This window comes from Homo sapiens, chromosome 2 (genome assembly GCF_000001405.40).
Source record: "Homo sapiens chromosome 2, GRCh38.p14 Primary Assembly".
Lineage (NCBI taxonomy): Eukaryota > Metazoa > Chordata > Mammalia > Primates > Hominidae > Homo > Homo sapiens.
The window spans coordinates 87,507,512-87,521,588 of NC_000002.12; the positions used below are offsets into that span (position 1 = coordinate 87,507,512).

The window sequence follows — 14,077 nt, forward strand, 5'->3', positions numbered from 1 at the left end:
ACAGCCAAGCTATTCTAAGAGCCCGAAGTCACCCTGGACACCCAGCTTGATGACAAAGGGCAGAAATTCAATATGGAAATAGGATCCACTCCAAATGCACCATCTCCGACATTATGATGAAGAGAATATGTATTTCATGACAGGGCAAATGTTGCCATCCTTCTGAGGGAAGATGTAAATGAGGATGCTTTTAGGGATGATTTCTACATTGTCACTAAACTGAGACATTTGTGCTTGCTCGTGCCAAGTGAAGATTGCTGTTGCTGTTGTTCTCTCGCAGTGATTAGGGTTCATTCCCTAGCAACAGGCAGCAGCAGAAAGGAAGCTTTGCAGGCAGAGTCACCGAATAAACGCAGTGGGAACAGTATCAACAACAAACCCAGTGATGAAGGGAGGGGCATGTGGGGCACACCACATTGCCTCTCTGGCTTCTCGTCTGCACCTGGGGCCAGAGGCAGGTGGGAAGGAGACCTTGACAATGTGGGAAGTCCCTTTGATTTGCTGAAATGGAGGAGTTCACATTTTACTGTGCAGTCTAACATTGCCCATTCTGGATTAGCTCCATCAGACACGCTTTTGTGCTTTACTGTAACTCTTTCTTTATTTGTCCTCCTCGAAACTGATCCATAATGCCAATTTGCTGATCAGCTGTCCCTGGGACTTCGGTGTACTGGGCTAGAACCTCAGTCTAGTGTTCAAAGGAGCTGGCAGAATGGGTTGTCTCGGCATGGAGGACCCAAAAGCAGAGCTCCCTGGTGCTTTGGGGGAGAGTGAAGCCCTTCATTCCACTCCTCATTGCAGACCAGCTTTCCTGGTATTCATGCACTGCTTTTTGTAACGCCTCAAATGAAGGCCACAGCTCAGCCAAGTAGAAGAGAGCTCCTAATAAATGAAGTCTGGTTGCCTTTGAATTTATAAAATAATCAAAGTTGCTATTTCCTGCTAAGGAGACAGATACAGAACAGGTGATAGGCCACAGTCATTACTGTCCCCTGCTTGTTCCCTGAGCCCCTGGCCTTCTACCTTTTCTAACTGCTGTCAGAACCCTGGTTGGGGACTTCCTTTTGCCTGGTTCTCCTGGGCTTGAATGGCAACCTATATTGACAGATTTCATGCCACAGTTCTTTTTCAAACAAGATGATTCACAATGGAATAATTGGGTTTGGGAAGAAGGCCTTTTTAAAGCAAACTATGGAAAATAATTGATGAGTAGCGCAGTTTTATAAAACTTTTTTTTCTATTACCCTTTAAAAACTATGTTGCTAACTGCACATCACACTGCATTCATATCCTGGGACTAATACCCCTTGACCTCTGCCATATGAATTAAGGTGAAAGAAGGGTCATAAGTAACAAAGTTTCAAAGTTGAATGAACCTTTTTTTTCCTGTAATTTTACTGACCATTTCCCTTTCTGTTTGAGAGATCTGTGCGGTCCTGTTGCTGAGGTTCTGTGGTTCAGGGGTGTTATCGGCGACAGAGTGCTGATTTCACTTGGGTCTGTTCTGGTTTGTCTTAATTTCTCTTTTAGAGCTTAATTTTCATTTCCAACGAATTAGGCAAGACAGAAAGTGACATTTGGAAAAGAGTGAATGGATGACTAAACATTCACCAGACGTCATTCTTGTAACAGTTAAATGGTAGTGATTCATGTCTCCATCTCTTGATAAAATATAAAGCATTAAATCTTGATGGCTAAACACACTGACAAAACTACCGAACCATGTTCCTGGTTGAGGATACCTGAAGGTCGACATTTATCTGGGATCTTTTGCTGCTGCTTTGGTATGACTTCTATCAAGATAGCTTTCGACGAGGTAGAACGTTTGCTTTCACTCTGGGTTTTCCTTGGTTTCGACAATTTTTAAGTGTTAACTGAAGGAAATCCCGTCTTGTCAGAATGTTCTTTTCAATACAAATCGCAGTGAAATAACGGGCTAGAAAGATGTGGATCCTTCTTGATTTTAGGAAGCACACACCTATCGGCAACTCTCTCTGCCTGGCCTGTGTTCACGGCGGTATTTTTGCCTCTGTCACCATCCTTGGGACTAGGTACAAAAATAGGCTTATGTTCCACGTGTCACCCACCACTTCACTTCCTTTTTAATAGATCATGGGTAAGGAGGTGAGAGGACATGAGAAGGATTGGTATGAAGTAAATAACAGTTAAATCTTTTCAGCCAGGGGTGGTGGCTCAAGCCTGTAATCCCAGCACTTTGGGAGGCCGAGGCGGGCGGATCACCTGAGGTCAGGAGTGCGAGACCACCCTAGCCAACGTGGTGAGACCCCGTCTCTACTAAAAAATACAAAAATTAGCCGGGCGTGGTGGTGGATGCCTGTAATCCCAGCTACTCAGGAGGCTGAGACAGGAGAATTGCTTGAACCTGGGAGGCAGAGGTTGCGGTGAGCCGAGATCGCGCTATTGCACTCCAGCCTGGGCGACAGAGTGAGACTCCGTCTCAAAAAAAAAAAAAAAAAGAGTTAAATCTTTTCAGATTTCTAGGCTGGAAATCAACAGAACAAGATCTGCTAGCAGAAGTTGTTACATCTCAACTAAGTATAGACTGGAGATGAATCTGACAACCTGTGACATCTTTAAATGTCAAACCCACCGCACATCACAGATGACATCGTACCTAATGATCAAACTCCCTTTAAAATATACTTCATGTAAATACATTTTTGCGAAACCACAAGCTGTTTCTCTCAGTTTTGTTTTCAGCTGGCTTTGATAAGGAGATTGGTTGGCAGCCTACAGCTAATTAAGCAGCTTTCAAGCCAACATCAATGAAAGGTTTTAGGTGACTATCAGAAATCCATTCCACTCTCCATGGTCCACCGGTGTCGACTATGCCTTTCAATTGTGCCGACAGACCCTGTCAGAAGAGAATGGTTTCGCACTAATCCAAGTTTACAACCAAAATCATCCTGTTTTCAGTGGTGTAGATCCAGTGTCTGTATCTGTCTTGTCAACTCACAATAGCATTAGCACAGGGGGCTGGATTTATGCTCTAAGAAATGCAATTTACCTTTCTAAGCTCACTTATATATATTTGTATCTAACATATTGTAAATTTCTTAAACTTGTTACACATTTAATTTTATAACTAGAAATCAATTTTTATTTATTTATTTATTTATTTAGTGGAAAACAGAAAATGAAGTGCAAGAGACCCTCATTTCCGGGGCAAGAATTCTGAGTTCCTTGGCTTCTTTCATTCTTGTCTGACTTTCCCCCCTCCAGTTGCAGTTATTTCTAGATTTTGGTAAATTATTCATTGCTTTTAAAAGAGAAAAAGCTCGATTTTCTAAATCTACAGTTGAGCTAGCCCTAACCTCTAAAGCCAGATTGCTTTAACAAAATTGTCATCATTTTATACATGACAGATTGGCTTCAAATAAAATGGTAAATGGGAGGAAAAGTATATTTTGCTTACACTTAGGAATGCCTGTAAACGTAACAGAGTTTAAAAAAAAATCTTGGTGTTTTAACAAATGCATATTGTGAAAAAGAGGAAGAAAAAATTAGCTGGTTGCCTGTGAAGTAATTGTGCTAAAAACATTCATTTTTAATATATAAGAGTTCACATTTTAATTCATATACTTGCAAAAGAAAAGTGGGATTTTTTTTCTTAAGGCTTTGACTATTTAAGGAAAGCTTTTGTGCTGTGCCAGTCTGCTTTTAAGAAATTCCAGAGTTACAGATACAATTGAGGGTGAACTTGAATTTGTTCCGTGGGCACGGCCTTTTCTGTTGTGGTAAAACAAAGTTAAAATGACAACGGTTCTGAAGAAAGTGCTTCAAGACCATGTCCTGTTTCACTCTTTCCAGATGACTAAAATCACCCTCATTTCCCAAGTCTTACATCGGGGGAAGAGGATATGTGGTTTAAAAGAGTGGCAAGTACTAGTTAAGGTCAGGCTTTTTCTGAATGTGAACATTCAGTTATGCTGCATGAAGATAGGGGCAGGTATTGCAGAGTAAAATTCTCATACAGAAAATGTCTGAAAGTAACAAATTAGGTGATTACCACGGTCTCCTTATCCACTGTCATCTTTAATCGTCGTGTTTTTTTTTCAAGGCTGTTTTGTCTGTTTTTAAATGCTGTTGTCTTATATAAATCAGGCTACTTGCTTTAAAGTACCAGAAGAATCCTATAATACTGAAAAAATTGAAATATAAAAAAGTGAAGTAAGAATTCTGAGTCACATGTTTTAGATACGGTGTTAAACAACATAACACATTATCTTGAATGGAAGATGTTATTACCTTGGTGCTCTCATCAGTTCAGCTTGCCCAGAAGCAATGCCAACCTTTCACTGAGAATCTTTTAAACTGACCACAAATGTCCCTATTCTTCTCAATGATTTAAAATGTCCTGTGCTAACTTTTCTATCAGTCAATATGTATTTTTCAGTGTTCTTACTGAGTTTTGTTATTTGCTTTTAGTTCTTTTCACTGTTTATTTGCTGGTTTATGTTTTATGAAGAAATCCACTTTCAGAAGAAATGATGACTTATTTTCTGTGGGTGTTTCCTTTCTTCACTACTTTAAGAATTTTCAAGTATAAATAAATTGTGAGAATACATATGTGTGCAAGGAGTGTGGGGAAGAGTTAACTAATTTTTAAATTGAAATGAGGGAAATACTGGGCTGACTCTACTGGTGTTTTTCAGAGTGTTCCTCAATTTAACAAAGCAAAGCACTGAGTAGTATTTCTTTCTAATATAGATGTTTAAAAACATCTTCCAAAGTAAGTAGCAAGAACTAATGCTCAAAGTGTTGTCTGAAAAATCTAGAAATATCTGCATGCTGTTATGAACAATTCTGTTTCTTTATGGAGAGTTGTTTGGGCTTTTTAGAAACTCATTAATTTGATTGTAAGCACCTCACTGTTATCAGGAAAAGAAGCTTTAGAAAATGGTTTCAGAATGTGTCATTTTCTCCTTGTTTTAATCTGAGACAGTGTGTGGGCATGCTGGTATTTTAAAAGGCTAAAAATGTTGTACATATTGCTGTGTCTTCAAATATGAGGGAAGATTACAAACAGAAGTTTTCTTCAAGCCTCTGTCTGAAATTCTGCTTTTCTTCTCAGTAGTGATTCTTAAATTTTTACGGAGAGATCTTTCATTCTTTTTTTTTTCATTTTCAATCTGTTGTTGAAATTCAGCAAAACAAATATTTTAAAAGCCAAGTCAGCTTTCTACCGTTTTGATCTGAATATTTAATGCTTTATAAAATAAAACCCTGTGTTTTAATTTTAACTAGTTTCATTCTTTTTTTATGAAATGATTTGCGGTATTAGACTGTCATTTGGTTTCAATATTAATATATAACATGAACTACGTGGGTGTCACTTATTTTCAGTAGTAAATAACTGCTTAACCGATTACTTTACTTTAACATAGTTCTACTGTTCTCCTTGAGCCTCGTGATCTGCATCTTCAAACAATATTTGGTGTGTGTTTTTGCAAAATAGCATTTACATACTGTGTCATTAAAAACTAGTTTCATGGTGTCATGGTGGTCGGAATCAGGGAATGTCGTGTAGTTGGTTTCAAAATCCATCAGTAGGTTAATCATTAATTATTCTTTTTCCAGGAAAAAACTGATGAGGTTGTTTCAGAATTTGAATTTACTAGAATTCCTTTTTTTTTTTTGCATTAAAAAAAAACTTTTGCATTTTAAGCTTAAAGGGGGTTAATTTGGTAAGAAAAGGTACCTTTTCTGTTTGTATTGTGGCTTGTTCATTTTCTCATAAACTGTATTTGGTAGCTAAAATGTTGAAAGCAGTTTGGGAACAAAATGTCTGCTCAAACCATGACAAAATTGGCCACAATTTGCCGATTGGGCTGATAACAAAAGCCAGCAACACAAAATAGGTAGAAAAACAGTTTGTTCGGTGATGTGAGACCACTGAAGCTCTTTTTTGCATGTTTTTTTTTTTTTTTTTTCATTCTGATGCTTATGTTGTGATGGAAATACATGAAGTCTCTGCTTACCCATTGTTTCTGATTAACTATTTCATCTTTGGATTTCTTTTAAAACTTCAGAAAACAAGCTGCCCCCTGGGCATCTGAGACAAATTTGAAATAAGAGCCAGCTCTGCACCTAAACATTGTGTTTTCTCTAGACCCCACTTGGTTGTAAATGTCCCAAAACTCTTGTTTTGATCGTTTAAAGCAGCATTTAAATTCCATTTCCCCCACCACCCCAATGTTCAACATTGAATTGTATGGCTTTTACTACACTTTTGCAAGTGTAAAACAAAAATTCTAGTTTGCAGTTTAAAAGAAAAGTTCTCCACCTGGGTATATAGTTGACAAAAATGTCAACAGCTAAAAGTACATATTGACTCTCATATTATCTTCGCAGACTGTAAGCAACTATTAATGTTTTACATGAGACAATACATTTTTTTCAAATGATAGAACGAGATAACAGCCTCCTCTCCCTTGCCTCTGCTGTTGTAACTTCTCATACCTTGTGTTGCCTCTGTGTGTGTGATGGTCTTATTTTTTTGGTCTTAAAAATCAGATCCTCCAGGACAATAATTAGGATGAGGTTTATGTTTCTACTTATCTAATCTTTGTTTTCACAAATAAATACAAATAACTCAAACTGAAACTTGATGGCTTTGGTGATAATATAATAGCAGCCACGGGGAAATTTTCTTCATTTTAATGTTCTTTCACAACCCACATTCAGTTTCGGTAGGAAAATTATTAACCTTTTCAAAAGCATGCTGAAATATGGGTTCACAATAGACTCCTGAGTATGATTTGCAGGTTTTGGTTCTATTTTGAGATTTTGGTGTACAGTTTTTCTCTTTTTTTCTCTCTTTCTTTCGTTCGTTCATTCTCTCATACCAATTGCTTTCTTTGACACCAATCGCAATGACTTAAAATCCTTCAGTTGATATCTTTTTAATGTGTGCACGTTATACAGTGTTTGCATTTATTTTTTTATTATGAGAAGGGAGAATTCCTATTTCCTTCTCTCCTACTGATTGGTTCTATGAAAGAGGACATACTCTTTATTCTCACTGTTTTTCTCCACTCTAATCCTCATGTGGAGGTTGTGAGTCCTCCAGCCCCATTTAAAAAAATCCAGTTGAGCCACATTTCCCCGAGGGCACCTGGCTCCATGTCAGGCATCAGATCTGACTCCTGTCTGCCTCCAGTGGCCTCGTGTCTGTGTCCATCACACCAAAGCAAGTCCGCCCGTTTGGGCTTGCTGTCCTGAAGGTCTGCACGGCCTCAGGCTTCCAAGGAAGGCCTGGGTGGCGGTGTCTCCATAGCTGACTGCTGCTGGGGCTGCAGGTCTGGAAGGGCTATTGGAGGGAGGTGATCATGATTTTGTAACTCTGGCTTCTTCACCTGAAACACACACGAGGGCAGGACCTGGGGCCAGAGAGGCAGGTGAGTAGGAGGATCTCGGATAACAGTTTCTGTTTTAGGCATCCCCTTCTCCAAGTCTGGCTGGGACAGCCACACCTGCAGAGAGGGCCCTGATTGGGGTCGTGGTCCTGCCCCACATCTGGCAAGCCTGTGCCTCATGTACTCACAGTCACCTTTTTTATTTGATCCCCATCCATCCTAAGTCCCCACCCCACCGCAGTGCCCTACCCTACCTGTTCCCACCGTCCCTGCAAAGTTGAATATGGAAACTGAGAAACACATATTTTATCTGTAACAAATGTGGACATTTCCAGTATTTTAGCCTGGGTTTTTTTCTTCTTCTTCTTCTGCTTCTCATACTTCCTGTATGAGGTTAGTTTTTTTAAAATGATAAACAAACTATTTTTTTTTTCAACTTTTTTGGGAGGCCTGGTTGTCTAGTGCCTCCTACCTGTGTTGTTGTGAGCCTTTTGCTGGTGCTCTCTACCTGGGCACAGAGGTCGGTGTGAGCAGAGCCTGAAAGTGGGAGTGGGGGATGTGGTGTTTTGCATAGGGTTGCAGTGAGGAGGGTTGAGCTGGTGAAAACACTTCTGTTCTCCTATTTGAGAGAGATGCAGCAGAATTCATGGCTGTCGTGTTCTGTGCAGGCAAAATGAGCTGAAGGATGGAAGGCAAGGGGGATAGGAGCAGGGGTGGAGCATGGCTAGAAGAGACATTTGATGTTTAGGGAGAGAACACTGGTGCAGATTGAATATCCCACAGTGCTCAGTCCCACGCTGTGCAGATGAGCAACATCTGGAAAAGAAGATTAAGGGATGAAGCATGCCAACATTTCTCCCCAGGTCACCCCAAAAATGAGTTGAAAATTCTGGATGGCTTCTGAGCTGCTTGCTCTTTCCGCCCCCAGTCGGGATCTCAGGAGAGAGCGTCCGGCAAGTAGCTTGGGTACAGTTGACTAAGTGTGAACATCAGTAGCCAGCCGCATAGCCAACCTGCAGTCACCCATGGCCCTGCATACAAGAGTGTCACTAGGAGCAGATATCACTTGCCACTGGTGGTTGTGTGTATCTGAATCACCTGGGCACTGTGAAACACACATTCCTAGGCCCCAGCCCCAGGGTTTCCTTCTTAGAATATGTGAGGTGAGGCCGGAGAATTTGCATTTCTAACAACTCTCAGGTAATGAGATGCTGCCAGTGCTGAGACTCCCATTGAGAACTGCAGCCTAGAGCCAGGGTGCTGGAAATGCCTAAAAACCGTGTCTACTGGAGTCTGCAAGTTGTCTCCACTTTTTTCCTAATGTCCCTTTGTGTGTCCTACCACAGACTTAAAATCCACACCAGCCTCTCAGAAGGCCTTTTGCATTTCTCAGTAACTGCACAGCAAGGTTACCTGTCATCTTGGCCTTTTACCATGTCCATCAGACTATAAAATGGCTAAAATGTTTTTGAGGTTTGGTTCTCTGAAAAATGGGTTGTATTTTACAGATAGTGAAAGGGTCAAGCTGTAGTGTATGGTATCACTAGACTAGGAAACAATCTACCAAGGGCCAACCCTTGGGTTGCTGCCCCTTGACAATTTCCGCCTTTATTATAAACTAAGGGAGCTGTCATAGGTTCTTCCCTATATAGAGCACTCTTGACGTAAGTGACACCATCTTAGAAAAAGACTCCATCTTACATGTCAAAAGGCATCATGCCAACAGGGAACAGATGGCCACCTAATCAATAAAGACCACACCCAACCAGACAGGGACATCACCAGCCCTCTTCTACTATCAGTCCTTGCCAGAGGTCTCAGGGCTATAAGAAGAGCAGGATTTCACCGGCTTGAGATGGTCGTCTTAACAGAGCCTTGCTCTGTTGTTGCTCGTGATCAGCACCTGGCATCTGCTGCCAAAGACTCTGCCCACATCAGAGACTCTTGATGTCTGTCCGGAACAGGCCAGGACACTCTCATCCACGTTGCTCTCATTGGATTGGCTCATTAACCCTTTCTTCTATCCCCTTCTCACTCTTTTTTTTTCAAAGCCACACTTATGCTCTGTTATCCCCTTTCTCTCGATGTTAAATGTTACTGTTCCATGTGGAATGTTTAATATAGCATTTATATATTGATTAAGTTAAGGACACTGCTGTGTATGGTTTGCAATATTGACTGACTTGCAGAGTGGCTTGAGCCTGAGTGCTCACAGCTCTGACTACCAGTTGAACAGGACGTACTAAGGAGAATCACTTCCTTGGGAACTCCATGTAACTTGTGGCTTTTGTGATTGAAATAGCATCAGTAAAAGTCTGACCCTGTGGAAAGACACAAATGTGCGTGGACCTGGCTATGTCTGACTTTGTGCTGCTCAGGACACTCTCTGTAACCAAAAGTGAGAGAGCCTGGAAGACCTCAGGGGGTCAGATGTTTGAAGGAGCTGCTGAGTATCCTGGCAGGCAGCAGAGCCTCACCATCAGTTTGCTGCATGGAAGGCTGTGTGCCTCTATTTCCCTGCTATTTGTTGAACTCCCTTGAGCTCCGGTCCTTCCTAAGTGAGAGAGATGATACCAATAGCACCAACCTGAGAGGGCTGGGGAGATGTTTGAAGGAAAGCTTGGCTGGGGAGCTGTAGCTGGCCTGTGGTACATGCTTGGTAACTGGTGGCCAGGAGACCCGGGTGTGTGTCCTGGGACTGTCACACTCTGCTGACGAGGGTATTGAAAGTCCCCACTCAAAGACACAGAATCTTCCTGACCAAGTGTAGGTCTGTAATGACGTGTGGAGCACTTTGCAGAAACTGCTTCTCAGCGGGGGTCCCCTTGAAAAGGTGCTAAGTCTGCTCAGAGATACGTGGCTGAAGCTCTAGACGCGGGAGCCTCTGTCAGAGACAAGGGCAGGGGGACTCAAGTGCTGCTGCCTGGCTCCCCTGCCCTGACAGCTCTAGCAGCACACGAGTCTGATTTATACAAAGAACCCATCTCATATCTCCCTAAAATTAGTCTGTGATAAGCAATATACATTTCCTGAGTGTGCGGTCTAGGTTTTAATATTCTGAAAAATAAAAACAGTGGTCTCTTGAGAGCTGAACAGTTTGGTAGTTACTGAGCAGGCTCCATCCTCCTTGGCAATTCTTTTGAAATCTCAAAAAGTTGGCTTCCTATACTGTTAGAATCTGATGTGAGTCAAGAATGGACAGGCTGTGAGTTCCTCACTCGTCCCTTTTCTATGCATTGAGGAAGACCTCGGTGCTGCCAATGGGGCAGAGGAAGCTCAAGTGTGTTTTTGCATGAGGCTGGCTGGAAGCTCTGGCTTGGGCTCTCAGCAGTGAGGTACTGGCAGTTCCTTGGATGTCACAGCAAATCGAAGCTCGTGGTCTTCACTTCCTCCTACCTTGAGACTTACTGCGCAGAAAGTAGAGGCTTGGATGGTTCAACTTCAGGGGCAAAACAGCCTGCCTTGGGGGTGGGACTGGGGGTATGCATCTGTGCCACTGCTTCTCTCCCTTTGTCAGTTTACCATGCCAGCAGCCTTCTGTCTGTTATCGGGAACAGAAAGAGCACGATTTGGGAGCTAGCTGGGGAGCTTCCCGAAGGTTGCCTGAGCTGCATTTGGGGCCCCTGATGAGGGCTTCTATTCAGGGTGATGTGTGTGACCCTGAGGCCATCTCTCAGATCTGGGGGGAAGTGAGGTTGTGTACCCACAGTGGGGAGACCTACCTGGCGGCTCATCAATATTAGACACCTGCAGGAACAGCAGGTCAGCCAAGCCAAAGAGTAAGAGTGGCCCTGTCTGTGACTAGACGCTTCTTCAGGGTTGCCTCAACACCGGAGTGGCGCTGGTGGTCTCCACCCACTCCCAGTGTACGCTGGCGTCTAGGAAGCCATGTGTGTGATCGGCCCTGAATTAGGGGCAAAACTTTTAGTTCTCAGATGAACTGTCGTGGGTTTATTCAGTGATAACTAGACAGCCAGGCCAACATGGAGTTGATTCATCCATGCAAAACCTCCCAGACAAGGCCTTTCAGTGGAGAACTGGAATTCAGGGTCTTCTCAGCTTTGGCCAGAAGCCAAAGGTAGGAGAGGTAGGAGAGACCCAGGTCCTGGTCCCAGCTGTGTCCCATCCAGAGTGACCTTGGGAAGGTTGCCAACTTCCTTTTTCGGTGAGCCTTGCTTTCTTCACCTGCAAGGTGAAGGGTTGGTTGGATGATCCGTAAGGGCCGGCCACCTCTCACTCTGTGACTTTGGCCCAAGGTCCACATGGTTGGGTGTTCCATACTGTAGCCCTCCTGGGCTATTACATTTTGGTTTTTCATTGCACTCAAAAGTGGGGGTAACTGGTGAGGGGCACGGGTTGGTAAACCACCTCTCTATTTCAGTGATGAAACTAAAGAAACCAGGTTTCCCCTTCCACCCCTACAGGCCACTGATGCATTACTTAGTTCCTGTTTCTCTTTGCCCACCCAGGAAGACACTGCGTATGAAATCCTGGGCCCAGATGCTGGACTTTAAGCCACATTAGAAAATGCTAGCTCATAGGACTCAAAACGGGAAGCTGGCTTTCCCAACAGATTCATCTGGGCAGTGTTCTTCCCAGAATGTGTAGGAATCATGGGGCCAGGTTCGCCAAGGCTCAGGAAGCTCGATTTTTCACTGTCACTAGCCAATGAGGCCTTTAAGGAAAAAACAGATAAGACTGTAGGAGTTTATATGGATCCGTTAACTCACTTGTACAAGACATTGGGAAAGATACTGGGGGTGGGGGGGAAACAATACAGAGTTTCAAAAGATAAATAGAGACTGTCATAATCACCACATGTCCTGGCAGCCAGGGCTACGGGGTCAGGAGAAGCTTTATTCCCTGGCCTGCAGCACTGCAAGAGACCCTAGGAGGAGGAGAGCTCCGCCAGGCCCTGCAGGCTGGGCAGCCTGCCTTTGGCCACATTTCCTAACACCACTCAGCAGAGCCCTGCCAGCAAAGGTCATTGTGCAAAAAATGTTATGCCCCATATATGTTTGGGAAGTGCACAATAATTTAAACAGCTTTCTTATTTCTTAACTTCTCTGGGTATTTTGTGTGCTACTGTATCTTGTGAATGAATCTCAAGAGGAAGGATGAAGCTTTTCCAAAATCACATGCCTTCATCTCATTTTACAGAAAAATTTGTGCCTAATATTAACCAAAGGAAATGGGGAGCGGCAGGGCCAGTGGGTTTTCATGGTGAACTGAGGGTTGCATCTTGGACAGGTTGCATGTGGAAGGGACAGCAGGGTTCCCAAGGAAGCTTTGCACGGTCATGGGTAGAGCCATCCCTTCTTCATCCATAGTGAATATGGCTGGAAATAGCGGGTAGTCTTGGATTTGACCTCCCTCCCATGGAAGTGCTGTCTCCAGCTCGCTCCTGGAAAAACTGCTTTCTCCCCAAAGTGTGTCTGAGCAGCAGATTTAAGCATGAAGTTGGTTTTGTGGGGCTACAGTATGGACTTTGGGAAGATGGTGCCATCTGTATTTCTGATTCTACCGTCCCTCTGTCTGTCTTTGGAAGTATCCTTTCACTTGTTTGGGAGACTGAGAATGATTTTCTGCAAACAGTGAGCCAGACCATGCTGGTCTCAAGCGGCAGAGCAGTTATTAACAGAATCACAGTCTTTCTGGAGCTGCTGTCAGTCCTGTGCTGTCCTCAGGGCCTTTGCTTGGTCAGGGGCCCCACTTCTTATCCACCCTTCCCTCTACCTCACCGAGGCTGCTAGGCCCAGGTGTATTGTGATTATTTGATGTACCTGGGAGGCCATGTCTCCCGGGGAGGCTCAGGACCTCATTGGGCTGGAATTCCACAGGGATCTCTCATTGGGTCTCTTTGGGCCTTTGGAGAGGGGAGTGCAGGGCACCACCTGGGCGAACACCTGTGCCATCCTGTAAGTCCTTGTGTGACTCTTCATCCAAGTCAACAGGGGCATGTAGGGGAAGAGCCTCAGGGCCCATCAGGAGTCAGACCCTGACCAGGAAGTCAGAACTGAATCAACTTTTCAATAAACACACAGGCTGGCCCCAAACAAAGCAGCAGGCTTTTGGGAACATCTGCCTTTTCAGTCTCTTCTGAATTCTGTTTATGTGGACACCCCATGTCCCGCACCACCATTGCCGCCAGCAATGTTTGTTGCTTGCCAATATTTGAATAGATGCTGATAAATTTGATTCTCTGGCTTATTGTGGCATTCATGATATGTCTTTCCCTTTTCAGTTTCCATGTACTAGAGCGACTGTCAGTGTGGTTGGCAGTGACCTGTGTTTTTCATGCATGTTTTTGTTTCAGAATAACTGGGAGATGAAACAGGAAGCTCTATGACACACTTGATCGAATATGACAGACACCGAAAATCACGACTCAGCCCCCTCCAGCACCTCTACCTGTTGCCCGCCGATCACAGCCGGAATGCAGCTGAAAGATTCCCTGGGGCCTGGTTCCAACCGCCCACTGTGGACTCTGAGGCCTCTGCATTTGCGGGTGGTCTGCCTGTGATATTTTGGTCATGGGCTGGTCTGGTCGGTTTCCCATTTGTCTGGCCAGTCTCTATGTGTCTTAATCCCTTGTCCTTCATTAAAAGCAAAACTAAAGAAAACAGAATTGTTTGCTTATTAGCTATCTTTAAACGCTGTTTGAAAGGATATCGAATAGTGTTTGAGGGAACCCTGGC

The 14,077-nt window shown here is 43.5% G+C and overlaps 2 long non-coding RNA genes across 6 annotated transcripts in view; both read left to right on the forward strand.

Annotated features, from left to right (window-relative positions):
- CYTOR (cytoskeleton regulator RNA) overlaps nucleotides 1-14,007 on the forward strand; it is a 66,092-nt gene extending 52,085 nt beyond the window's left edge. For all 5 annotated transcript variants that reach the window (NR_024205.3, NR_024204.2, NR_146461.1 and 2 more), the window contains one exon: nucleotides 13,696-14,007. This is a non-coding gene — a long non-coding RNA (cytoskeleton regulator RNA). The remainder of the gene's footprint in view (nucleotides 1-13,695) is intronic.
- NCAL1 (NK cell activity associated lncRNA 1) overlaps nucleotides 1-14,077 on the forward strand; it is a 282,375-nt gene that overhangs the window by 52,033 nt on the left and 216,265 nt on the right. The window lies entirely within an intron of this gene.